The following is a 27,610-nucleotide window of genomic DNA, read 5'->3' on the forward strand; positions in this document are numbered from 1 at the left end:
TGTTATGTCTTGTGAAGAACTGTTCTTACTAAACTGGTACTGATCTAAGAATGCTCCTGTTTTTATTCCTTTCCATCCCTAAATTGAACCAAAGATGACAGGAAATCAAGCTTTTTCAATTCATTTCTTTATTCACAAACGGCTCATTTGATGAAATAATATTACCTCCTTTTTGCATGAGATCAAAACCAGGGCCTTAGTGTTCATTTATTCCTACATTTGCTCCTTGGAGGCATGGATCTGTGAATCAAATGACACATTGCTAGTGTTTATGAATCACAAAGGCCATTTAAAAACAGAACATTCACCCTGTATGTAGATTTATTTTTTCTCTCCCTTCTTCTATTTTCTCACCGCTTTCTTTCTTGCTTTCTTTCATTTTTTTCTTCTTTTAGCTGTACACACTATAATTTAACTCATAAACAAAACTAATATTAATACAGTTATGTTTTATGATAAGTTGAAATAATTGAGTATTAAAATATGATCATAAGAAAGTTTTGCTTCCTAGATTTGTACTATATTTTACAGTCTAGATATATCTTAGTATATTGCTAATGTAATATTATGTTTTGAATATTTGTAGTTTTTACAAGACCATTTGTATATTTGTAGTTGTTACAAGACCATTTCTTGGTACTTGGGATCAGTAGGTTAGTGAGTCGGGGGTGTGACTTACACAGTGTTTCCCCAGAAGCATATACTGAGACAAGAATTTGAATACAGGTAGTTTACTTCAGAATTAAATCCCAGAAGCACCAGTAGAGGAATAGAGAAGTGATCCAGGGAAGGGAAAAAAGAAAATCAATAATGTTACCTTCATAAGGCAGATTACAGTTGTGGACAATTGAGGCTCGATTCTGTTGATAACTCGGGCAGACGGGTAGAAGTTGTAGTTGAGTGATCAGTGGGATCACATGGAGAGCCACGGCTCTCCATGAGGGAGAAGAGAGATACAAATATGGAATGAGGGAGAATAAGAAAGATCCTGTGGTATTTGAATGGAATTATTGACATCTGTATGAACTCAACATTTTTTAAAAGCGTGTGTGTGAATGTGTGTGTATACGTACACTTACATGTGCACAGAGCATAACTAGTGGGAGTTTGAGGGTTTTGTCAACATTTGGGTCAAAGTTTTAAAGGAAGGAGCCTATCTCTGAAGGAGACAACGTAAGTGGCAGTGACCTGAAACAACGAGAAATCCCCAAAGGGGAAACCTAGACGTAAAAAGTTTTCTCCTCCTTTTTGGACAATATACTTTAAGAGGTCTTCTCTGCACTGAACAGGAAATACTTTGCATTTTTATTTAATGAGGAGATCACTTGAAAAATAATTTTATTTTCTTTTTTCTTCTTTTTATTTTAATACCACTATACTAATGAGAAAGAAATCACTTTTTTCTTAATCAGTTCAAGAAAGTAGGGTAACATTTGCCATAAAATAAGCTTGTCTTCACTTTCATAAAATAAACATAAGTGAATAAGTTTGCAAACTTAATATTTGATTTTTTTTTTTTTTTAAAGAGGGTTGTAGGAAGAGGAGGTATAGCATTAAGTAAAAGATTTAGGCCAGGTGCAATGGCCCACACCTACAATCCCGTGCTCTGAGAGGCCAAAACAGAAGGATCACTCGAAGCCAGGAGTTCAAGACCAGCCTGGGCAAAACAGCAAGACCCATCTCTACAAAAAATAAATTCGCTGGGCATGGTGATATGCACCTATAATTCTAGCTACTTGGGAGGCTGAGGCAGGAGGATCACTTGAGTCCAGGAGTTCAGCTATGATCTATGATTGCACCACTGCACCCCAGCCTGAGTGACAGAGTGAGTCCACATCTGTTAATAAATAAATCAATTAATTAATTAAAAGATTTGAGTCAGGCATGGTGATTCATGCCTATAATCCCAGCACTTTGGGAGGCTGAGATGGGTGGATCACTTGAGGTCAGGAGTTTGAGACCAACCTGGCCAACATGGTGAAATCCTGTCTCTACTAAAAATACAAAAATTTGCTGGGCATGGTGTTGTGCGCCTGTAATCACAGCTACTCAGGAGGCTGAGACAGGAGAATCACTTGAACCCAGAAGGCGGAGGTTGCAGTGAGCCGAGATGGTGACACTGCAATCCAGCCTCGGCAAGAAAGCAAGACTCCATCTCAAAAAAAAAAAAAAAAAGAAGTGATTCTTTTTAAAAAAAACACACAATGTGGATATCTGATTCTAATAGTGGCAGACAAAGTGATATAGTTTGACTGTGTCCCCCACATTTCATGTGTTGAAAACTTAACTCCCAATGCAATAGTGTTGGGAGGTGGGGCCTAATGAGAGGTGTTTAGGTCACGAGTTTGTCAAAAGATGCTAGAGAAAATTATCTCTAAATATGTTGAGTCTACTTGGAAATAGAAATAAGGATTATAGGCCGGGTGCCTGTAATCCCAGCACTTTGGGAGGCCGAGGTGGGCGGATCACGAAGTCAGGAGATCGAGACCATCCTGGCTAACACGGTGAAACCCCGTCTCTACTAAAAGTACAAAAAATTAGCCGGGGGTGGTGGCGGGCGCCTGTGGTCACAACTACTTGGGAGGCTGAGGCAGGAGAATGGCGCGAACCCAGGAGGCGGAGCTTGCAGTGAGCCGAGATCAAGCCACTGCACTCCAGCCTGGCAACAGTGCAAGACTCCGTCTCAAAAAAAAAAAAGAAAAAAGAAAAGAAATAAGGATTATAATCTGGAATGCATGACATGGCAAATCACCAGAGCATTCAGTGAAGAAAGGGTAAGGAGAGCCTTTATTAGCAAAAAATATTTACATGAGCTGCTTAGAAATGGCTCATTGGTCATGGAGTTTCTAAGCCAGAGTTGCTGTTAGTTCATTGATAGAAATGCCATTACTGGGCAAATGTTTTTCCAAGAACAGCTCAACTTAATCACTGCAGTCTTAAAGAATGTCTTGTGATAAATCTTTTGCGTTTTTTTGTTTGTTTGTTTGTTTTTTTGAGATGGAGTCTCACTCTGTCGCCCAGGCTGGATACAGTAGCGCTGTAGTGAGCTCACTGCAACCTTCACCTCCTGGGTTCGAGTAATTCTCTTGCCTCAGCCTCCTGAGTAGCTAGGATTACAGGCACATGCCACCACACCTGGCTAATTTTTGTATTTTTAGTAGAGATGAGGTTTCACCACATTGACCAGGCTGGTCTCAAACTCCTGACCTCAAGTGATCAGCCCGCCTCAGCCTCCCAAAGTGCTGGGATTATAAGCGTGAGCCACCGTGCCCGGCCATCTTGTGATAAATCTTATCAAAGGGTGTATGAAAGAAGTGAAAGGATTTTTAGAAAGTTCTTGGAACAGTTCTTATCTCAGATATGTAAGTATGAGCCTCCTCTCCTTCAGGACTTGCTGTCCCTATTTTGCCCTGTGGAGACACAGAGCTAAACCATATCATTCCACCCATGGCCTCTCCCAAATCTCATGTCATTCTCACATTTCAACACACAATCATGCCTTCCCAAAAGTCCCCAAAAGAAAAAAAATAAAGAAAATCATTGCCAGTCCCTTGAGCAGATGATATAACTCATACCAATACTTGTATAGAAGAAGCATATTCTGAGTATTCAAAATTGAATCAGACTCAGAGGTAAAAAGATATAGCCTCAAAAAATGTGGCATACCTAAAATATCCGTGAATCTTCTTACTCATTTAAATAAACTAAATTTGAATTTCAAATTCACTGACTTTTCCTATTACTATGATGTGAGACAGGAAGCGTCCTTCAAGATTTATACTTTTTAAAAAATAAATGACTACACTATTTTTCAACAGGACGAATGCTACAGGAAATGAGCATACAAAATAAGAAACAGAAAGTGGAGGCGGTTAGCAATGGCTTTAATTTGGCTCCTTACTTTCACACAAAAACACCTGCAGAGAGCTTCAAATGCTATGCATGTGCTGATGATTCTCAAATTTACAACTTCTGAAAAAGTCTTTTTTCTGACACCCCCACATCCTCCTGTTCATTCTTCAGATCTCAGCCTAAAAAAGGTCAATTCCCAGAGAATCCCTTTCCTGAGATCCAAGACTAGGTCAGTTTTAAGACAGGGGTTTTCAATCCTTTTGACCTTGATCTACCATAAGAAATATATTTCATATCATGATCTGGTGCACACATATGCAAATATGCATTCTTAAACAAATGATTATCTCTATCTGCCAGTCACTATTATAAACCACTAGGGATACAAAGTGAATAAAACGTATAAAAACTTTGCTTTAATGGAGTTTACATTCTAGTAATTCTGTTTCTGCCTTTGCCTTCCTTAAAACTATTCTCAATCCTGCAGCCAAAGTGATCCTATTAAAACATAAATCAGACGTCACTCTTTTCCTCAATGCCATCCAATGGCTTCCCATCTCACTCAGAGTCAAAACCAAGGCCCTGCCTACTACAAATCACGTAGCCTTACATGATCTGCCCCACTGACCATGACTCACCCTCTTTCCTCGTCACCTGCTAGTCCTCCCATTCACTCCCCTTCAGTCATATTGGCCTTGCTTCTCTTCAGACGGGCCAGCCACACTCAGGGCCTTTGCACTGACTATTCCTTCTGCCTGGAATGTTCCTCCTCCAAGTATCCATATGGCTAACTCCCTCAATTCTTTGAGATCTTTAACCACAAGGCGCTTTCCCAAATAAGTCTTCTCTGGCTACCCTTTTTAAAATTTTAACCCCCACCCTTCACATTTTATATACTCCCCTTCCTTGCCTTTTTTCAGCTTCTTGTCATCTTATAACATATTCTATATTTTACTAATTTATCTTGTTTATTTTCTATCTTTCCTCTTGAAAGCATACTCTATAAGCCCCTGGATTTATATATTCATTCACTGACAACGTAAGCAGAAATAAAAGTTTCACAAAAGAATACTTATCCTTATTATCTGTGATTTACTAGGATGTTTTATTATTTAGTTTGTTAAAAATACTGGTCTTAAGCCACTAGATAGATTTCATGACCCACTCATAGATCATGATCCACAGTTTACACTGTCTTAATGTAAGCTTTCATTGTATCTGACAAATTGTTTCATAGCACATCACAACTGTGTGTGTGTGTGTGTGTGTGTGTGTGTGTTTATTCCCTACCCTACTGTGGGTCCTATGCAGAGCTGAGAAGTCAGGGCTGCCTTACTCACCGCTACGTTTCCAGCACAGAGCATAGTACCATAACAAGTCCAAGTCATGTGCACACAGAAGTTAAAAGGGAGCAGAAACTATAAGCAGAAGTTAGCCACCAGGAAGACAATGAACAGAAACACAGAGGGAAATAGAAACTGACCCATGAAAGAGAGAGATAGAGCTGTAGTTCCAGTTCGCAGTCCATAAGTTTCTTTACCCCCCATTATTTTAGACTGAGTTTTTGTTTTTTGGAACTTATACTATATTAATAGCATATGAATTAAACATCTTGATCAATCAGAGCAAACAATCCAAAAACTTCTGTAAAATAAATATCAATAGTTTCTAAATTTTAGGAAAGTGATATTGGGTAAATGGAAGGATTAATTTTGTAGTCTGGAGATGGGGAAGGCAGAAAACCATGTTTGCTTCTGTAGCTTCCATGTCCCTGTACCACCTAGCCAACTTGCTTTGCTCTGCTGCTTAGCTCTGCCACACAAAAGGGCTCCTGCCTGGCCCCTTGCCCTACAGGACGAAAGATAACCTACGGTGTTTTAGGAAGATGCTTTCAAAGGTAAATGGAACTCACAGGAGTGATCTCTCTCGGTGTCCTCTCTTCTAGGAGGCTTAGGTAAAATAGGTCTGATCCTCATTCAGGGAAGTGTCTAGGTTAGTAATGCAGGCCAGCTTAAGTTTAGGTATTTGGACTTGCTCTTTTCCAGTCTAGCACATTTCTCTCTACCTCATTTTACATAAGAGTTGTAGGCCAGCACGGTGGCTCACGCTTGTAATCCCAGCACTTTGGGAGGCTGAGGTGGGCGGATCACAAGATCAGGAGTTCGACCAGCCTGGCCAATATGGTGAAACCCTGTTTCTACTAAAAATACAAAAATTAGCTGGGTGTGGTGGCGGGTGCTGGTAGTCCCAGCTACTCAGGAGACTGAGGCAGGAGAATCGCTTGAACCCAGGAGGCAGAGGTTGCAGTGAGCCGAGATGGCGCCACTGCACTCCAGCCTGGGCGACTGAGCGAGACTCTGTCTCAAAAAAAAAAAAAAAAAAAAAAAAGAATTGTAAAATCTGAGATTCAAATTTGACCATTTAGATGGTCCAATCTAACTCACTAGATTCTGTATTGGAGATGGGAGACAAAACCTCACATAGAAATAGTGTTCCTATGAATATGTTGTTTTTTGTTTCTCATATATATAAATATATGTATATGAAACCACACACACATATACAGGAATATATATTTTTGGTATTATTTTACATCCATTAATTATTTCACTTTCAAAAATTTCCTTAGTAGTGGCAGACTTATCCATAAAGCTAACAAACCTTAAGCTTCAGTGCTTTGCATTGTTTGGGCCCCTTCTAAGAAATGAATGTAATTTTGTCTATCATTTTGAAGAGAGCCTCTCAAACTGTATAATCTTCATGCGCCATAAAGTCTGGATCTAACTATACCTTCAGGAATGTTATCGGTTGTATTGGCTGAGTAGGGTTAAAGGTTTCAGGAACTCAGGTTTGACCAGCAGCCCTAGCTTTCATAAGGAAAAAAAAGAGACAATATAATAATAATATATAGGCCAACAACAGAGAAGTCCACTCATTTAATGCTTACTATATTTAAAAACCTTCAAATCTGCAAGGCTATACGTTTCTTTCTGAAAGCAAAAATTGGGGTATAATGTAGGGTTGCTATTTATCCCATCAATTAGAAACTTTTGGTGGCAGGATGGAAAAAAAAATCCTTGCCTTTCTCAGGAATGGAACTATTCTGTTCAAGTTTGCTTCTGGCCACTGCATCTCCAAAGCCTCTGCAGCATATGTGCAGTGAGCAGCCCAGAAGAAGGCTGAGTACAGTGTATGAGACTGCATCATTGCATATAAATTGACTTGAATGATAATTCCAGAGTCTCCCAAGGCGGGCAGATTACCTGAGTTCAGGAGTTCGAGACCAGCCTGACCAACATGGAGAAACCCCATCTCTACTAAAAATACAAAATTAGCTGGGTGTGGTAGTGCATGCCTGTAATCCCAGCTACTCAGGAGACTGAGGCAGGAGAATCGCTTGAAACCTGGGAGGCAGAGGTTGCAGTGAGCCGAGATCGCGCCATTGCACTCCAGCCTAGGTAACGGAGCACGACTCTGTCTCAAAAAAGAAAAAAAGAAAATAGTACTTCACCTCTGTGGTATTCTCCCAAAATCGTATAGCTTCAGTACAATCATGAGAAAACAATCAGAGAAACCTCCGTAGAGTGATATGCTACAAAATACTTTACCAGTACTCCTCAAAATTGTCAAAATCATCAAAAACAGAAAATATCTGAGAAAGTGTCATAGGCAAGAGGAGCCTAAGGACACATAATAACTAAATGTAATGTGATATGCTTAATGAAATCCTGGGACAGAAAAAGCATATCAAGTCCAAGAAATATAAATAAACCATGGACATTAGTAAAGAACAATGTATCAATATTGGTTCATTAATTTTAACAAATATACCTTTTTGTTTTTGGTTTTTTTTTTTTGAGACAGAGTTTTGCTCTTGTTGCCCAGGCTGGAGTGCAATGGCACGATCTCGGTTTACCACAACCTCCGCCTCCCGGGTTCAAGTGATTCTCCTGCCTCAGCCTCCCGAGTAGCTGGGGTTACAGGCATGCACCACCACACCCGGATAATTTTGTGTTTTTAGTAGAGACGGGGTTTCTCCATGTTGGTCAGGCTGGTCTTGAACCCTCAACCTCAGGTGATCCACCTGCCTCGGCCTCCCAAAGTGCTGGGATTACAGGCGTGAGCCACTGCAACCGGCCTACAAATATACCATATTAATGAATGTGAATAATAGAGAAAGTGGTATGGGGTATATGGGAATACTGTACTATCTTCTCAATTTTTCTGTAAATCTATAAGTGTTCTTTAAAAAGTCTATCATTTTTAAAAAGTTTTCAGTTATTCTAATAAAAGCATATCATTTCCACATTAAATCATACTTTCTGTTAGTTGAAGTCATTTTAGGAGGCTAATATTTCTGAATCTTTAAAAATTTATGCTACTGATAGGCTTAATTCTACTTTAAAGTGAAATAGGCAACTGATTTAATTAATCTAACTTATGGTATGCTTTGGATATTGTGTGGATTTTTTTAATTAGCAAAAAAACTAAATTAAATTCAACAAGAAATCCTTCTTTCAATTTATTTTATTTAACACAATGACCAGAAACCTACAGAAGCTATAAAATTTCTTAACGAAACATTTCATATGGGAGGAAAAGTTTTTATCCCCTACATAAAAAGGTTATTACAGAATTGATCTATACCAAAATTAAAACATTTTTGAAGTTTTATAAAACTACATGTTAACATAAGACTCTCCAACCTTGTAATTTTCTAGCACCTTTTATCTGTGCAGTCAGGCATTTCACAGCACCTTATGATACATTTATAGTGACTTTTCCTAAATGGGAGAAGCAGATGAGTCAAATGACTTATACTAGATTCTCCATGAGTCAGAGGTACGACTGTTCCAATGAGTCATTACCTATCAGTTCTAAAGTAATTGTCAGGAGAATCATTTAAACATAAACCCCAGAAATCATAGAAGGAAAGAACATTTTAAAACATAGCTATTTTCCTACTAGTTTTTAACAATAACTTGTTTGAGAATAAATTTAGAAGGATTCAAATACCTAAAGACATTGTTAAAATGCAATGCAAAGACATAGATTTTTGTTTGCTTGTTTGTTTTGAAACGGAGTCTCACTCTGTCACCCAGGTTGGCGTACAGTGGCATGATCTCGGCTCACTGCAACCTCTGCCTCCCAGGTTCCAGCTATTCTCGTGCCTCAGTCTCCCAAGTAGCTGGGACTACAGGCGCATGCCACCACGCCCCGCTAATTTTTGTATTTTTAGTAGAGAAAGGGTTTTGCCATATTGGCCAGGCTGGTCTCAAACTCCTGACTTCAGGTGATTCGCCCACCTTGGCCTCCCAAGATATACTGATATCTGTTGCATTTATGATAGCCTACATAGGAAGTACATTAGACAAATGAATAGTTTTCTTTTTTCCTTTTTTTTTTTTTTTTTTTTTGAGACGGAGTCTTATTCTGTCGCCCAGGCTGGAGTGCAGTGGCATGATCTCGGCTCACTGCAACCTCCGCCTCCCATGTTCAAGCGATTGTCCTGCCTCAACCTCCTGAGTAGGTGGGATTACAGATGCCCGCCACCACGCCCAGCTGATTTTTGCATTTTTAGCAAAGACGGGGTTTCACCATGTTGGCCAGGCTGGTCACAAACTCCTGACCTCAGGTGATCTGCACGCCTCAGCCTCCCAAAGTGCTGGGATTACAGGCGTGAGCCACTACGCCCGGTGACAAGTCAATAGTTTTCTACTAATTCCGTCATTACTATCTGGTATCCTGGCTTGTAAGATAACCACCTTATAAGTAATCTAACAAATAACACTGTGGCAGAAAATATAATTATAAAATTATTAGATGTTATAAAACAAGAACATCTGATCACAGAGTTTTTGCTACTTTGTCCTTTAGTGATAAAGTTTCTTACGAAAACACATACCAGAAATAAAGCACTAATATTTTGTATACAAGTCTAAACTTTTATAATAATTAGTTCTCACATAGACTAAAAAATAGGTTGGGCCCAGATACCCTTGTTTTCAAATTATGAAATGTAAGATTGTGCTAGTAAGAGACGTATTTCAGACAACCCATTTAAAGCAGTGTGGTTTTAAAAAGTGAATAAGTAGAAAAAAACTTGATCTAAAGCCCACTGGGAAAAAGATACGTTACCATAAGAGATCCAGTAATTCTAGAACAGTATGATGTTGGCACAGGAATCTCTAACCTTGTTGGTGGAGGCCTATGAGGTCAGTAAGATTGTGTGCCAAGCAAACAGCAGATTCTAATCAAATTCCTGGTTGCCTGGTTACAGTATTTGATAATGAAAAATGAAAACCTTGTTCTTTTTAGTTAGTACATGTTCTGTTAGTATAAATTTATAGTGACAGAACTAATAAAACTCTGGGACCTTGCCCTAAGAGTACATGTAACATAATGTAAGGTAAGTCCTTGTTGAATCCAGCAAAATGGTATTAACTACATGAAATACCCAAAAGCCCTCATTAGAAAGGAATCTTGGCTAGGCGCGGGGGCTCACGCCTGTAATCCCAGCACTTTCGGAGGCCGACGCAGGAGGATCACCTGAGGTCAGGAATTTGAGACCAACCTGACCAACGTGGTGAAACCCTGTCTCTACTGAAAATACAAAAATTAGCCGGGCGGGGTGGTGGTGCCTGTAATCCCAGCTACTCCAGAGGCCGAGGCTGGAGAATCGCTTGAACCCAGGAGGCGGAGGTTGCAGTGAGGTGAGATCGCGCCATTGCACTCCAGCCTGGGCGACAATAGCGAAACTCCGACTCAAAAAAAGAGAAAGGAATCTTATTGTGGACCCAATAGGTACCCTGAGGACAATACCTTACCTTATATCTTCACCATTAATACCCTTTGCAGGGCCCCAGTAGGGAACTCATTGTGAGTGGGACCATGTACCTTTCTTCAGGATCACCTCACGAGTAATTTTCCTTGGTAGAGTCTAAGACAGACCTGTATCATCAAGGAAAGTCCAATTTCACTAAATACCTGTACAATTTAAGTTTCTATTTTATGAACCAATTCCCATATCCAAACAAATTACCCATGAATCGTAAGGCAGTTTACATGGTTCAACAAATTATACTGAATGGAAAGCGCTATATAAAAGTTTTGTTCCCAAACACCAAAATATCCAACGTGACTACTCTGGAATTAATTCTTTATGCTCTGTGTTTGTATGCTGGGACCTTAATCGGCTGCAAAACAGGAAAGAAGAACAGAGAAGTGACGTAAACAGGAATAGACCCACTGGGCAACTCTAAAAACGTGTAAAATGCAAATGCTGGCAGGATAGAGGAGCTAGGCTAAGGAAAAGGTTATTGCTTTTTTTTTTTTTTTTTTTTTTTTGAGACTGTGTTTCGCTCTTGTCGCCCAGGCTGGAGTGCAATGGCACGATCTTGGCTCACCTCCACCTCTGGGGTTCAATCAATTCTCCTGCCTCAGCCTCCCAAGTAGCTGGGATTACAGGTGCCCACCACCATGCCCAGCTAATTATTGTACTTTTAGTAGAGACAGGGTTTCACCATGTTTGCTAGGCTGGTCTTGAATTCCTGACCTCAGGTGATCCACCAGCCTTGGCCTCCAAAAGTGCTGGGATTACAGGTGTGAGCCACCATGCCTAGCCGTTTATTGCTTGCATTTATTTATTTACTTATTTATTTATTTATTTATTTATTTATTTATTTAGATGGAGTTTTGTTCTTTGTTGCCCAGGCTGGAGTGCAGTGGCGCCATCTCCGCTCACTGCAACCTCTGCCTCCTGGGCTCAAACGATTCTCCTGTCTCAGCCTCCCCGGTAGCTGGGATTACAGGCACCCGTCACCACGCCTGGCTAATTTCTGTATTTTTAGTAGAGACAGGGGTTTCACTATGTTGGCCAGGCTAGTCTCCAACTTCTGACCTCAGGTGATCCACCCACCTTGGCCTCCCAAAGTGCTGGGATTACAGACGTGAGTTACCGCGCCCAACCTACCATGATTGCTTTTAAAGTGCAGGGAGATGTAGAGATAAAAGAAGGGATACTGGGCTGGGTGTGGTGACACATACCTGTAATCACAGCACTTTCGGATGCTGATACAGGAGAATCACTTGAGTCTAGCAGTTCCAGACTAGGCTGGGGAACGTATTGAAATCCCTGTCTCTACAAAAAATAGAAAAAATTGGCCGGGTGCGGTGGCTCATGCCTGTAATCCCAGCACTTTGGGAGGCCAAGGCGGGTGGATCACCTGAGGTCAGGAGTTCTAGACCAGCCTGGCCAACGTAGTAAAATCCCATCTCTACTAAAAATACAAAAATTAGCCTGGCGTGGTGGCAGGCACCTATAATCCCAGCTACTCGGGGGGCCGAGGCAGAAGAATTGCTTGAACCCAAGAGGTAGAGGTTGCAGTGAGCCGAGATTGCACCATCACACTCCAGTCAGGGGTACAAGAGCAAGACTTCGTCTCAAAAAAAAAAAAAAAAGAAGAAAGAAAAGAAAAAATTAGCTGGGCATGGTGGTGCATGCCTGTAGTCCCAGCTACCTGGGAAGCTGAGGGAGGAGGATCACTTGAGCCCAGAAGATTGTGGCTGCAGTGAGCTGTGATCATGCCACTGCACTCCAGCCTGGGTGACAGAATGAAACCTTGTCTCAAGAAAAAAAAAAGAAAGGGCACTGTGCAAATGGATTTGAAGCCTAATCTGACATGAATTTTGTCCCACATGACAAGATTAAAGCAACAACAAAGAATTTCCTGATATAAAAGTCATCCTCTTCACTAACAAACCAACCCAAGAAGACACTTGCTTTATTATGATTTTATATATATATATATATATATATATATATATATATATATATATATTTTTTTTTTTTTTTTTATACGGAGTTTCGCTTTTGTTACCCCAGGCTGGAGTGCAATGGCGCAATCTCAGCTCACTGCAACCTCCGCTTCCTGGGTTCAAGCGATTCTCCTGCCTTAGCCTCCAGAGTAGCTGGGATTACCGGCATGTGCCACCACGCCCAGCTAATTTTGTATTTTTAGTAGAGATGGGGTTTCTCCATGTTGGTCAGGCTGGTCTCGAACTCCTGATCTCAGGTGATCTGCCTGCCTTGGCCTCCCAAAGTGCTGGGATTACAGGCATGAGCCACCACGCCCAGCCATTTTATTATTTTTTGAAAAAACCTTTGTGATCTACACTTTTAGCAATTGGCTTCTTTTAAACATTATTTAAAACCAGCAATTTTAACGTCCTATTAAGTTTGTTCAAATGGGAGTTTAATTATACTGAATTTTTCCATTTCTTAAACTAATTTATAGCAAATGGCCAGTGGGGAGAAACAACTCTTCTACGAAAAAACTGAATCGCATTTAGGGGCTGAGCCAAATGTCTGCTTAGATTAAATGAGATGTGACAAAAATCAGTATGAGTCCTTGTCCTTGTAGTGAGAAAAAATAATTTTAAAAAAATCAATCCAGGCATGATGGCTCATGCCAGTAGTCCCAGTTATTTGGGAGGCTAAGATGGGAAGATCTCTTAAGCCCAGGAATTTGAGTCCAGCTTGGACAAAATGCAAGACCCCATCCATAAAAAAAAATAATAAATCTAAATAAATAAAATGAAAATCAGTATTAGAATATGTCTAGGCCGGGCATGGTGGTTCACGCCTGTAATCCCAGCACTTTGGGAAACCGAGGCAGGTGGATCACAAGGTCAGGAGCCCAAGACAAGCCTGACCAACATGGTGAAACCCTGTCTCTAGTAAAAATACAAAAATTAACTGGGCGTGGTGACGCATGCCTGTAATCCCAGCTACTAGGGAGGCTGAGCAGGCAGAATTGCTTGAACCTGGGAGGGAGAGGTTGCAGTGAGCCAGGATTGCGCCACTGCATTCCAGCCTGGGGGATAGAGCAAGACTCCGTCTCGTGAAAAAAAAAAAATATATATATTCAAATATGTCTAGAAGAATACCCAAAACAGTGATCACCTCCAGGAACTGGGTGGCTGGAAGACAAAAGAAAAACATCTTACTATATACCCTTTTGAATCTTTTGAATTTTAAACCATATGAATGTACTATCTATTCAAAAAAAAGGAAATAGAATTTTTTAAATTAAACTAACAGTTTCCCTTGAAATATTATGAAGACCGATAACATAATCTACTGCGAAAACCCTATTGTTAAAACAGTAAAATACACAGCAAATGCCATCCTATCCCTCAGGTTAATAAGCTGTGCTATCTTGCAATCAGGAAGAATGCAGTCAATCAAGCGTCTTTTGGAGTCAAAGAACAGTACTCCAAAAAGCCATATCAACAGTAATATTTTGTTGTGTCCCATCATATGTTATTTAATATACTCCTTAGGGTGAAAAATGGGTGTGGTTCCAAAATTAAATCTTTCACCTTTATGGATAAAAGGGTAAGTTAAAGTACAAAGGGAAAATAATGTTAAGCTTCTTTTTGTTTTTAAACCTCAAAAGGTTTTATTAATCTCAAGACTGACAGACACAAAAACCAAACTTTGATAAAGGAGATGGACAAGAACATACATAATAGATTATGAATTATTCAGTATAGCCTATTTTAAATCCTGCATTTAAAAATACTTCTGACAGATGCAGTGGCTCACGCCTGTAATCCCAGCACTTTGGGAGGCCAAGGCAAGTGGATCACGAGGTCAGGAGTTTGAGACCAGCCTGACCAACATGGTAAAACCCCATCTCTACTAAAAATACATAAAATAGCCATGCGGGGTGGCACGTGCCTGTAATCCCAGCTACTCAGGAGGCTAAGGCAGGAGAAGTACTTGAACCCGGGAGGCAGAGGATGCAGTGAGCTGAGATCGTGCCACTGCACTCCAGCCTGAGCGACAGAGTGATACTCCGTCTCAAAAAAAAAAAAAAAAAAAAAAAAAAAAAAATATATATATATATATATATATATATATATATATATATATATATATATATACTTTCAGTATTGTTACTACTGATGGGGATTAAAATGATTGAATCCACTAGTAACAACAAAAAAAATCTTGGAATTACTTTTCTTTAATACTAGTATCAAGAAATTTGATAGAGACACAAAACTGCAGGCAGCTGGGTGTATGTAAGAGGCAGGAGAACATAATGGCAATAGCACTTTTTCAGGCCCACTTCTCTGACCCTATCTCTAGCTCTATACCAACACACTTTTCTTCCCGCCTTCCAATAGATTGTCCCAGGCAGCAGGAATTATATAAACTGTCTCTGGACAGGTATACAAATAACCAAACAAATATCATACAGCTAATAAATGATAAACACCATGCACAAAGCGCTATGGACACAGAGAAGCATAGCTGGTGTTATTCTGACCTGGCCACTTTCTAGTGCTATGAGTACTGGCATTGCCATAGCAACATCGTTGACCCACTGTAAATGAAGATAAAGTTTAGATTAAGGGCTGTGTTTAGATAAAGTTTAGATTAAGGAAACAAAATTTAATAAACAATCTATTGTAAGTACAGTATATGAATGGGTACATACAACTTTGCTTCCCCTTGGGAATTAATGGTAATTTTTTTTCTGCTAAAATCTTTTGTTTTCTCCTCTTGGCCCGCATAGAGGAAGTAAAAAAATAAAAGAATATTAAAAAAAGAAAATAAATTTTGTTAACTTATTACAATTTTAAAAAATGTTTCTCTCTTTAAATGATGGGTGGCAGTACTATGAGTATTTGAGAGCAATTCATAATGTAAAACCTCTATTGTGCTTTGAAATGCATTTGAGGAAGAAGGGAGCTAAATGTTCACCTTCCTTATTGCATTTTGCTTAAGCTAATACAACAATTAATTTTAATCTATTAAGACATTAATGATGTTTAAGCTGAGTAAATTGGATGAAGGAAAATGCTAACTAAAATTTCGCAGAGTTGGCCCATAGAGAAGGTAATTCAAACTCCAACATACATATGAGGCATTTAAGTCCAAGAAAAGAATATCTTATTCTTTTCTTTTTTTTTTTTTGGACGGAGTCTCACTCTCTCATCCAGGCTGGAGTGCAGTGGCGTGATCTCGGCTCACGGCAACATCCACCTCCCGGGTTCAAGTGATTATCCTGCCTCAGCCTCCTGAGTAGCTGGGATTACAGGCATGCACCACCACACCTGGATAATTTTTGTATGTTTAGTAGAGACGGGGTTTCACCATGTTGGCCAAGCTGGTCTTAAACTCCTGACCTCAGGTGATCCGCCCGCCTCGGCCTCCCAAAGTACTGGGATTACAGGCGTGAACCACCATGCCTCGGCCTCCCAAAGTACTGGGATTACAGGCGTGAACCACCATGCGTGGCTTCTTTTCTTATTACCATTAAAAATGTTTTCCTAAACCCTCCATACTTTCTCGATGTCTACTCTAACGCCAACTTGCTATACTTCTTTCAGCTGCTTCTAACATTCAGCTTAGAAGACGAGATTAGATACAGCAGGATCTAGTGATAGCATAAACAACCTCCCTCAGCTAAACTGGCTTGAAATAGTGAGGTAAAACAAAACAAAAATATCTTAGAGACTGAGCTGTGAGGTTCACAGAGAAAAGTTAAACATTCAGTGTACCAACAGGGGCATTCATCAACAATATTTATATGAGTGTCTACTACGGACCAAACTTAGGATTGTTCTAGGATTGTTTATAAATGACTAAATTTACAGTGACAGGCCCTAATTCTGACCACAATTAAATTTGATAATGATAGTTAAAATGAGGAAATACCAGAAGGGGCATATATGACTTGTTATTTTATTTATTTTTATTTTTTTCTTTTGTTAATAGAGAAGGTATCTCACTATGTTGCCCAGGCTGGTCTAGAACTCCTGAGCTCAAGTGATCCTGCTGCCTCAGCCTCCCAAAGTACTAGGATTACAGGTGTGAGCCACTGCCTCAGCCAATTTGTTATTTTATTGAAAATAACAATGACAACCATTAACATTTACTATGAATAATATAATATTAAGTATTTACTGTTTCTCAGAAACTGAGCTAATCACTTTACTTATCTAAACCTCTCTTATCTAAGTAACTCCATGACGAAGGCACTGGTTTTTGAGACAGTCTTGCTCTGTCACCCAGGCTGGAGTGCAGTGGCATAATCTTGGCTCACTGCAACCTCCGCCTTCTGGGCTCAAGTGATTCTCCTGCCTCAGTCTCCCGAATAGCTGGGATTACAGGTGCTCACCACCACGCCTGGCTAATTTCTGTACTTTTAGTAGAGACAGGGTTTCACCATATTGGTCAGGCTGGTCTCGAACTCTTGACCTTAAGTGATCCACCAACCTCAAGTGATCCGCCCACCTCAGCCTCCTAAAGTGCTGGGATTACAGGTGTGAGCCACCGCGCCCAGCCGAAGGCACTGTTTTTACCATTTTACAGATGGGGAAACGAAGACAAGGACACATAGTATCATGGCTGACCAAAAAGCCCATGTACTTACCCTGCTGTACAAACTTTTGGGATTTTAGTGATGAAGAGGAACAAATTGGTATGATCTATATGACTATGAAGTGATACACGCTGGTGGGGGTGGCTCACGCCTGAATCCCAACACTTTGGGAGGCCAAAGTGGGTGGATCACCTGAGGTCAGAGTTCAAGACCAGCCTGGCCAACATGGTGAATTCTTGTCTCTACTAAATACACAAAATTTAGCCAGGCATGGTGGAGTGTGCCTGTAGTCCCAGCTACTCTGGAGGCTAAGGCGGGAGAACTGCTTGAACCTGGGAGGTGGAGGTTGCAGCGAGCCAAGATTGCGCCACTGTGCTCCAGTCTGGGCAAAAGAGTGAGACTCTGTCTCAAAAAAAAAAAAAAAAAAGTAAAAATAAGGTGATACATGTTGGTATCTTAATAGTAACTACACATATAAATTATTTCAATTTAATTTAATTTTATCTACCAACTTCTACCTTTCAGGTAACCACATTCCAATTAGGCATACAGTTTGGGCTATAAAACTAATAGTTAATATTAATTGAGCCTGTAATATGGTGTAGGTGCTGATCTAATTTGTGAGGCAGGTGCTGTTTTGGACATCCCTAGTAAAGCCCTGAGAGTTTAAAGTTACATGGCCAGTGAAGTCCAGAGCCAGGATTCAAACACAGGCAGTCTGGCCCAAGCCTAACCACTGCTCTGTAGAGCCCCTCAACTAAAAGAGGCTAATGAGCCAATAACGATGAATCTTGTGCCTTGAGAAATGAGGGTCAAAGCACAGTTCCTTACAGGAGCCAGGATTTCCATCATTTTTACAACAAAATCTTTCCTCCTTTGCTTTTAGCCCTATGGGGGAGCTAAATTTTAGTCAGAATTAGGCATTGAAAGAGAGACGAACGGCCGTGGTTATTCAAGTAGCCTAGACACCCCTAATATCTGCTCACACTGAAAGTCTGGTCATTAGTGCCAGCCTCTTCCTAATGGAGCAGCTGGTAAGGTTCACTGAGGACTTGTAATTTACTATTAAGGAATAAACATGAACTCCTTCACAAAAGATGAATTTTCTTTCTAATTGTCCATCAGTTACTTGCTCCTCCTGTCACTGTCTTAACTCAGTCCATAACTTTGGGCAGGTTAAATGCTTTATGCTTGTTCACCTTTGAAATGGCTTATTAATACCTGAGTGGAAGAAACACTATAAACACAAAATATTAATTATACTTACCTTCAGGATTATAAACATAACTAGATTCTTCAATGAGATGACATAAATTAACATTGATTCAGTGCTTTAAATTTTCACAATCTTATTTATGTACAATTGCAATGTCATTTTCATTCCTCAGTTGCAGAATCAGAGTCACAGTTTTGCAAAGTAACTTGCTTAAAGTTTCATGGCATAATATTAGTTGGGATTCCTAGCCTGGACTACTCTTTGTCCATATGTCCATATTCAAAGTTCTTTTTTTTTTTTTTTTTTTTGAGACAGGGTCTTGGTCTGTCACCCAGGCTGGAGTGCAGTGACATGATCAAAGCTCATTGCAGCCTCACCCCGCTGGGCTCAGGCAATCCTCGCACCTCAGCCTCCTGAGTAGCTGGAACTACAGGTGCACACCACCATGCCTAATTTTTTCATAATTTTTGTAGAGATGAGGTCTCACTAGATGCCCGGTTCTGGTCTTGAACTCTTGGGCCCAAGTGATCCACCCATCTTGGCCTCCCAAAGTTCTGGAATTACAGGCATGAGCCACCACATCCAGCTCATATTGAAAATTCAGAGAAAATTAACTCTTAGAGATGTCAAATCATTTTCCGAAGATTGTATGTTTATTAAGTGGCACAGAACCTAGTTTCTCTGACTCCAGAGCATTTCTAGGATTTCATTTTGATCTAAACCCTAGGGAATGGGAGAACATATGTAAAATATTTCTCTCACCTAAAAAGTAAAGCAAATAATGGCAATGTGCCATGAACAAGGAAGTTAGCTTAACCCTCTAAACCTGAGATCCAAAACTAAAAGGAAAAAAAAGGATATGACATGTTTCTGTTTCCATCATTAGGTTTTTCATTGCTTATACTCTGAAAATAATATGTTTATACTCTTTGTAATATTTATATTAATATGACAATATCTTTATATTACTCAGTAAAAGTACTGAGTAAGGCTGGGCGTGGTGGCTCCCACCTGTAATCCCAGCACTTTGGGAGGCCAAGGCAGGAGGATCACCTGAGGTCAGGAGTTGAAGACCAGCCTGGCCAACATGGCAAAACCCCAGCTCTACTAAAAATACAAAACTTAGCCAGGTGTGGTGGCAGGTGCCTGTAATTCCAGCTACTTAGGAGACTGAGGCAGGAGAAGCCCTTAAACCTGGGAAGCAGAGGTTCTGGTGAGCCAAGATTGTGCCATTGCACTCCAGCCTGGGCGACAGAGTGAGACTCTGTCTCAAAAAAAAAAAAAAAAAAAAAAAGTTAAAAAAATACTGAATAAGGGCATTGAATTATGGTTCAGTTGGCTTACTGTAATACTTCTCTTCATGTACAGTGTTTACTAACAACAGTGCTACATAACAATAATTAGAAAACCATCAGATGATAGCATGGAATGTTGGGTTTAGGTTACAAAATGATACTACAAAAACAGAAATGATATTTGTGTGTACACATACACAGATACAAGCACATACACAGGCACATAAAAAAATATGTATTTGTTATTCAAGTATAAGAATACAGGCAGCCAGGCATGGTGGCTCACGTCTGTGATCCCAGCACTTTGGGAGGTGAAAGAGGGCAGATTGCTTGAGTCCAGGAGTTCAAGAACAGCTTGGGCAACATGGTGAAACCCCATTTCTACTAAATATATATAAATTAGCTGGACATGGTGGCGTGAGCCTGTGGTCCCAGCGACTCAGGAAGCTGAAGTGGGAGGATTGCTCGTGCCCAGGAGGTGGAGGTTGCGTTGAGCACCACTGCACTCCAGCCTGGGCGACAGAGTGAGAGACCCTGCCTCGAACAACAACAACAAAAAAGAATACAGGCCACCTTTGTAAATATTCTGAATATCAGAACATAACTGCTTTCCAATTGAATAACATCTGGTTAAAAGTAAACACATTCTCATGAATTTATGCTTATCTGGAATCCAGAATGAGGTTTTAAAATATTGCAGCAACTGGGTGATGGTGGGAGAAAGTATGTCATTAGAATTGAATATGTGGCATAATTCTTAAGCTAAGTTTTAGGGCAATTAAGAAATAAGTGAGACTATCAGAATCAAGATATATTTATAACAGTAAAAATCAGAAGCTTTTCAGCTAAAACATTCTATGTACTAATACAAAATTATGCTTTTACCAAATCCTTTCCCTTACTCCAAATTTCTTTATTTAAGGTAGGGATCAAGGGGCACATATTTTCCACATTTGGAAAATATGTTCTTTGGTAACAAAGAAGAGATAATACATACTGTTTGTAGATCCCTGGACCTGCCACACAAACTGTTTGCAGGTCCCTGGACTGGCCGAGCTGCTTCATAAACCTTGCTTAAGCTGCCTTTGCTTATGCTACCCACTTGGCCTGGAAAGCCTTCCCTTTCCAGAAAAGTCCAGAAGAAACTGTTCCATATCCATTACTATTTCCTTCCCTTTCTCAAGAACTGATGATTTCCTTCATATGGCAAATCCTGTTTGCCTGACAGGTTGCTTCTCTAAGATTATTTATATCGGTTATTGTATTTACTTGATTACATGCTTCTGCCACATAGCTGGATTGTGAGCTCTTTTGAATGCTGGCATTTTGCAGACTCCTTGATCCTCTTCAAATATGTAGCTTTTTGAAGTATCATGAGGGCTAAGATCTTAGTTGAGTGCCAGAGCATTCCTATTTTAATAATAGCTACCTCCTTAGGAAACACTAGAATACTCAAAATTCTTTAATTAGCTGACCATTCTTTTTGTTGTTGTTAAGACAGGGTCTCATTCTGTTGCCCAGGCTGGACTGCAGAGACATGATCATAGCTCACAGTAGCCTCAAACTCCTGGACTCAAACAATCCTCCTGCCTCAGCCTCCTGAGTAGCTAGGATTACAGGTGCATGCCACCATGCCCAGCTACTTTTTGAAACTTTTTTTTTTGTAGCGACAGGGCCTCACTATGTTGTCCAGGCTGGTCTTGAACTCCTGGTCTCAAACCATCCTCCTGCCTCAGCTTTCCAAAGTTTTGGGATTATAGGTGTGAGCCACTGCATCCAACCCAGCTGGTCATTCTTAACTGGGCTCCTCCTGAGGTCAAGAACCCTCAGGAGCACTTTAACTCATGACTTCCAAAGTTTTGGGATTATAGGTGTGAGCCACTGCATCCAAACCAGCTGGCCATTCTTAATTGGGCTCCTCCTGAGGTCAAGAACCCTCAGGAGCACTTTAACTCATGAACTATCCCCAAACATATCTACTTTCTCTGTAAATGTTAACATTCTAATCTAGCTAACAAGCTCTAGTGAGCACAGTGAGTTTAAAGCTGTCCTCGCAAGGTTAACAAGAATTCTGGAGAGAAATATAGTTATAATTAAGCATTATCAGGCTGTACTTTGACCCACTTCCTTGTACCCAAAAGTCATCTAACACTAGATACTGACAACTTGCATTCCCATTTTTCCTATCAATAGGATTTCTGATGTTAGAATCATAAGGCTTTGTTTAAGAATTGCTTAAGCAGGTCACACGGATGGTCACGCCTGTAATCCTAGCACTTTGGGAGGCAGAGGCGGACGGATCACCTGAGGTCAGGAGTTCAAGACCAGCCTGGCCAACATGGTGAAACCCTGTCTCTACTACAAATACAAAAATTAGCCAGGCGTGGTGGTGGGTGCCTGTAATCCCAGCTACTCAGGAGGCTGAGGCAGGAGAATCACTTGAACCCAGGAGGCGGAGGTTGCAGTGAGCCGAGATGAAACCACTGCACTCCAGCCTGGGCGACAGAGCAAGACTTCATCTCAGAAAAAAAAAAAAAAAAAAAGAATTGCTTAAGCATAGCCTGAATTCCAGCAGAACAGCTGATGCCAATGAGTTTAAAGATCCTTCCCTAGGAACCACAGAGGAACTGAATCAGCATGATAATACAGTTTTTTCATCTCTCTGTCACATGATTTCACCCTGCACTCTTTCTTCAATCAATGATATCCATACTTCAGCCCAATCTAAAACCCTTAAAATTCCTAGCCCCCTCTTGCCTGACACCGTGTAAAATGTGACTTTGCCCCTCATTCACCTTCTGCCATGATTGCGAAGCCTCCCCAGCCATGTGGAACTGAGATTGAGTGTTTTGTGGGATCAAGCCCTGCTTTTCCCTTCGGTTTCTGAACTGCACCTCCTTGGCAGATTAAAGTAATGAAAGGGGTCAGAATCTACTGGTGTTAAGAAGTCAGCCTCAGCACTAAGAGAAAGAAGGAAGGCAGGAAGGCAGAAAGGCAGGCAGGTAGGCAATGAAAGCATTTTAAGAAATATTTATACGGCAAATATTACAGAGAAAAACCTCAAACCAAATTTTATTTCAAAAAATGTTGGAGGAAGTGTTATATATTTTTATGTGCTTAAGAAAACGGTTAAAAAGAATTTCACAGCATTGGGTCTATTAAGTACATTTATTCCAGTGATTTTCTGGATATTTCCAAGTTCCATTTAAAACAGAAGTCTCCTATCAAGCAATCCTTTGAAATTATTTATTCTTTTATGGTTGTAAAGAATGGAAATGTAATACTTTTAATGGAAACCCTAATAAACAGAAGAAAAAAAATCCTAGCCCCAAGCCCCTTGAGGAGATGGATTGAAGTTTCCTCCAATCCCCTCATTTGGCAGCCTTCTGATTAAACCTCTTTCTCTGCTGCAACATAGTGTCTCAGCATATTGACTTGCTGTGTACATCAGGAAATGGATCTATTATGGTTACAAGTTTTGCCATTTCTGGCAAGGGGTTATATTTTAGGGGTGAATTTAGTTATTTTTTTAACAGTGTAGTCTAAGTGACATTTTTCTGTTTTAATGTTAAAATATGACCCACGAACAAACAAGATTAAGTCTGGATTTTCTAAAGGAATTTCTAATCTATTTAATGCACAGATATTTCACAAACATAGGTTAGACAGTCAAGAATTTCCTTTTCTTCAGGTGATGGAAGGAAAGTAATAGGATTTTCCAAGATTATAACAATGATTAGAAATATGTAACAGAGAAGGTAATAGGATTTCATAAGAGATAAGCTTATTTACTAAGAAATGTTGTATATATTCAGTGAGAACCAAAGATTACACAGCGTGAGGGACCATGAAATTTAAAGGAGACTCCAAAAACAAAAACAATTGCTGAAGTCTCTGCTAGTTTAGCTGCTGCTGTGGCTACTCAGACTAACCACACAAAGCTACTGAAGGGCTCTTTTTGTTTTTTGTTTTTTTTGAGACAGAGTCTCACTCTGTTGCCCAGGCTGGAGTGCAGTGGCGCAATCTCGGCTCACTGCAACTTCCGACTCCCAGGTTCACGCCATTCTCCTGCCTCAGCCTCCTGAGTAGCTGGGACTACAGGTGCCCGCCACAATGCCCGGCTAATTTTTTGTATTTTTAGTAGAGACGGGGTTTCACCTTGTTAGCCAGGATGGTCTTGATCTCCTGACCTCGTGATCCACCTGCCTTGGCCTCTCAAAGTGCTGGGATTACAGGTGTGAGGAAGGGCTCATTTTTAACTCAAGAAAGACTCGTTCATATTTAGATTCCCAAAGAAGCGGTTTGTTACAAAGACTGGTTAACTCATATAGCTTCTTTGAACAGACACTTGTTGGAACTCACAAAATAATATCTGAGCCAAGAACAGTGGCTCTCACCTGTAATCCCAGGACTTTGGGAGGCTGGGGCAAGATGACTACTTGAGCCCAGGAGTTTAAAGTTTAAGACCAGACTAGGAAACATAGTGAAACCCTGTATCTACAAAAAATAAAATAAAAATTTAGCTGGGTGTGGTGGTATGTACCTGTAGTCCCAACTACTTGGGAGGCTAAGGTGGGAGGATTGCTTGAGCCCAGGAATTCGAGGCTGCAGTGAGCAACAGGGCGAGACCCTGTCTCAGAAAAAAAGAAAAAGAAAATGATACCCCAAAATATGGTGCTTTGACATGCTACACTGAAGAAGCAGACTTAAAGTCTATCTCTATGCTACCTCCCTGTCTCTCATTCTCTTTCCCAAAGCACCAAGAGGGACTCTCCTCTGGAATTTTCATATGGGACTAAGAAAAATTCTTCCAACAGAAATGCAATTGTCCCAGCCTGGCCAACATCTCTACTGAAACCCCGTCTGTACTGAAAATACAAAAATTAGCCAGGCACGATGGCACTTGCCTGTAATTCCAGCTACTTGGGAGGCTGAGGCAGGAGAATCTCTTGAACCTGGGAGGCAGAGGTTGCAGTGAGTTGAGATCGTGCCACTGCACTCTAGCCTGGGTGACAGAGTGAGACCCTGTCTCAAAAAAAAAAAAAAAAAAAAAGAAATGCAATTGACTTAAGAACCCCTCCCCAGGAATCTCATCAAATAACCAGGAAAAATTAGCCACCTAGAGAGGAGAAGCTACAAGGAATCACCACACCCAGACAGGCTTTTCGTCTGTTCATCTGAGGGCAGGGCCCACAGATTATGTGGAAGACTTTATCTGTGTAATGAGACAAGCTTTGTTTCTGTGCCATTCTGCCCCTCACCCTCCCATAACTTGCAACTCTTGGTCTCATCTACAAAATAGTCTCATTTACAAAATAGTATCTGCTGCCATAAATCTATATAAGCCTCGACCATCTGGCTCCTCTTCTAGTCTCATACTTTGTATATGGCTCCTGTATCCATATGCATGTTAGTAAGTTTTGCATGCCTTTTTCTCCTATTAATCTGCTTATTGTAAGTTAATTTTCAGTGAAAATGTAGAAGGCAGAGGGGAAGCTTTCCCTTGACTTCTACACACTGTTGGGCGCCCACTGCCTGAAAAAGCCAATGTCAACTAGGAGTCTTCTTAATTGTGTCTTAGTTAGTGGCTTAGCAAAGTTTCAAATGGCCTATAATCTGTCAGAAGGATTTATCTCCTTGGGATGTGCTATGGTCTGAATGTTTCTGTACCCCCCAAAAACCGTATATGTTGAAATCCTAAGCCCCAAGGTGATGGTGTTAGATGATAGGGCCTTTGAAGTCATGAGGTCATTTGGGCTGAGCCCTCATGAATGAGATTAGTGCCTTTTTTTTTTTTTTTTTTTTTTTTTGAGATGGAGTCTTGCTCTGTCACCCAGGCTGGAGTGCAATGGCGTGATCTCAGCTCACTGCAACCTCTGCCTCCCAGGTTCAAGCGATTCTCCTGCCTCAGCCACCCGAGTAGCTGGGATTACAGGCGCCTGCCACCATGCCTGGCTAATTTTTTTTTTGTATTTTTAGCAGAGACGGGGTTTCACTATGTTGGCCAGGCTGGTCTCGAACTCCTGACCTCAGGTGATCCACCCGCCTCGGCCTCCCAAAGTGCTGGGATTACAGGTGTGAGCCACTGCACCTGGCCATTAGTGCCTTTATAAAAGAGATACAAAACAGATGCAATGTTATGTGCCTGTAGTCCTAGCTATCAGGGAGGCTGAGTCAGGAGGACGCTTGAGCCCTGGAGTTTGAGTCCAGCCTGGGCAAGATAGTGAGACCCCATTTCTAAAAAACTCTATGTAAGGAAAGTTTGGTTTAAAAATAAAAAAAGACACAGAGAGACCCTTGCCCCTTCCACCATGTAAAGACACATGGAGAAGGCACTATGAAGTGAAGTGAGAATGAGGGCCCTCAGCAGACACTGAATCTGCCTTAATCCTGGAATTCCCAGTCTCCAGAACTGTGAGAAATAAATTTCTGTTTTTTATAAGCTATCTAGTTTATGATATTTTGTTATAGCAGATTGAACCAACTAAGGATAAATCATGTCCTAGCTAATGAACTTTACTTTTATAAAATTATAACTTCTCTTTGGAAACCTTATGGCATTTCTGAGCTAAAACAGCAAGTAAAGAGATGGAATCAGTCTTAGGATTTACCTCATCTTTAGAACACAACAAAAAGTAATCTACATTTGGGGTTTATGTTGTTTATCTTTGTTGTTGTTGTTTATTTGTTTTTTTACTTAAACATAGCATCTTATTATGTTGCCCAGGCTGGTCTCGAACTCCTGGTCTCAAGCAATCCTCCCACCTCAGCCTCCAGAGTAGCTGGGACTACAGGCATGCACCACCACACCTGGCTTCCATTTTGAATACAGGTAGAATCACTGAGAAACTTACATTCTTTGAATTCTTGGTTAAGGAATTGTGAAAAGTAGGAGTGTACCTCAATAAAATTCTAGGCGTAGTTGCCCAGGACTATTGTTGATTTTCCCAGGAAAAGGCAAACAAATATAAACTCTTGATCTAAAATATCAAGGGGCTGGGCATGGTGATTCACACCTGTAATCCCAGTATTTTGGGAGGGTGAGGCAGGAGGACTGCTTGAGGCCAGCAGTTCAAGACCAGCCTGAGCAACCTGGTGAGACCCCATCTCTATGAAAAAATTTCAAAAATTAGCCAGGTGTGGTGGCATGTGCCTGTAGTCCCAGCTACTCAGGAGCCTGAGGTAGGAGATTGCTTGAGCCCAGGAGGTTGAGGCTGCAGTGAGCCAAGATAATGCCACTGCATTCCAGCCTGGGTAACAGAGTGAGACCCTTTCTCTAAATTAAGTAATTAATTTTAAAAAATAGCAAACAGTGGAATTTCCTGGGAGAACCATCAACTCTTTAATAGAAGTTATCAAATAGCTTACATCCCAAATCTCACCACAAAATTCTTACCTTGCTGTGTCTACCAATTCTAAACTATAAATCCATTTAATTCATGTAATGATCTATATCTAATCCTAGTCAACACCATCACACATACTGGAATTAAAAGGTTTGCCTTAAATCAAATTTCAACATCTCAATAAATATCCCAACTCTGTTCTTCCTTCTCTGAGACACTATTAAGACTGTTGAAGTAGTGTTCTCTCTCACTACAGTAAGCAATAAACAACTTTGTCTTATTAACAGGTTGATTAGGTGATTTGGGGGAGCCAGCTTTCGACAGTCCCTGAAGATCAAGGATTATTTCTTATTTATTTCCGTGTTTTATAACATCTAGTAAAGCATAAGATGCTTACTAAACATTTATTTATTTATTTACTGAGACAGGGTCTCAATCTGTTGCCCTTGCTGGAGTGCGGTGGTGTGATCATGGCTCACTGCTGCCACAGCCTCCCAGGCT

At 40.5% G+C, this 27,610-nt stretch overlaps 1 long non-coding RNA gene across 2 annotated transcripts in view, besides 3 other annotated features; it reads right to left on the reverse strand.

Moving 5' to 3' along the window:
* The window catches only part of DMXL1-DT (DMXL1 divergent transcript), a 74,579-nt gene that overhangs the window by 31,316 nt on the left and 15,653 nt on the right, over positions 1-27,610 (reverse strand). Inside the window, exons 1-2 of one of the 2 annotated variants that reach the window (NR_134249.1) lie at positions 9,991-10,034; positions 6,643-6,719 (exon numbers count right to left, since the gene is read on the reverse strand). The exons of the other annotated variant lie outside the window; for it this stretch is intronic. This is a non-coding gene — a long non-coding RNA (DMXL1 divergent transcript). Of the gene's footprint in view, positions 1-6,642; positions 6,720-9,990; positions 10,035-27,610 lie in introns of those variants that run through there. 2 annotated transcript variants of the gene reach the window in all.
* Positions 4,215-4,264: an enhancer, noted in NCBI's record as "active region_22957". NCBI's record gives its function as "activates an Ori minimal core promoter by ATAC-STARR-seq in GM12878 lymphoblastoid cells {active_cell/tissue: GM12878}" and the evidence as "EXISTENCE:reporter gene assay evidence [ECO:0000049][PMID:35858748]".
* Positions 10,695-11,200: an enhancer, noted in NCBI's record as "H3K27ac-H3K4me1 hESC enhancer chr5:118374017-118374522 (GRCh37/hg19 assembly coordinates)". NCBI's record gives its function as "activates a minimal SCP1, AML or CMV promoter by ChIP-STARR-seq in naive H9 embryonic stem cells {active_cell/tissue: H9 hESC(naive)}" and the evidence as "EXISTENCE:reporter gene assay evidence [ECO:0000049][PMID:30033119]".
* Positions 22,092-22,592: an enhancer, noted in NCBI's record as "OCT4-NANOG-H3K27ac hESC enhancer chr5:118385414-118385914 (GRCh37/hg19 assembly coordinates)". NCBI's record gives its function as "activates a minimal SCP1, AML or CMV promoter by ChIP-STARR-seq in primed H9 embryonic stem cells {active_cell/tissue: H9 hESC(primed)}" and the evidence as "EXISTENCE:reporter gene assay evidence [ECO:0000049][PMID:30033119]".

Source organism: Homo sapiens, chromosome 5 (genome assembly GCF_000001405.40).
Source record: "Homo sapiens chromosome 5, GRCh38.p14 Primary Assembly".
Taxonomy (NCBI): domain Eukaryota; kingdom Metazoa; phylum Chordata; class Mammalia; order Primates; family Hominidae; genus Homo; species Homo sapiens.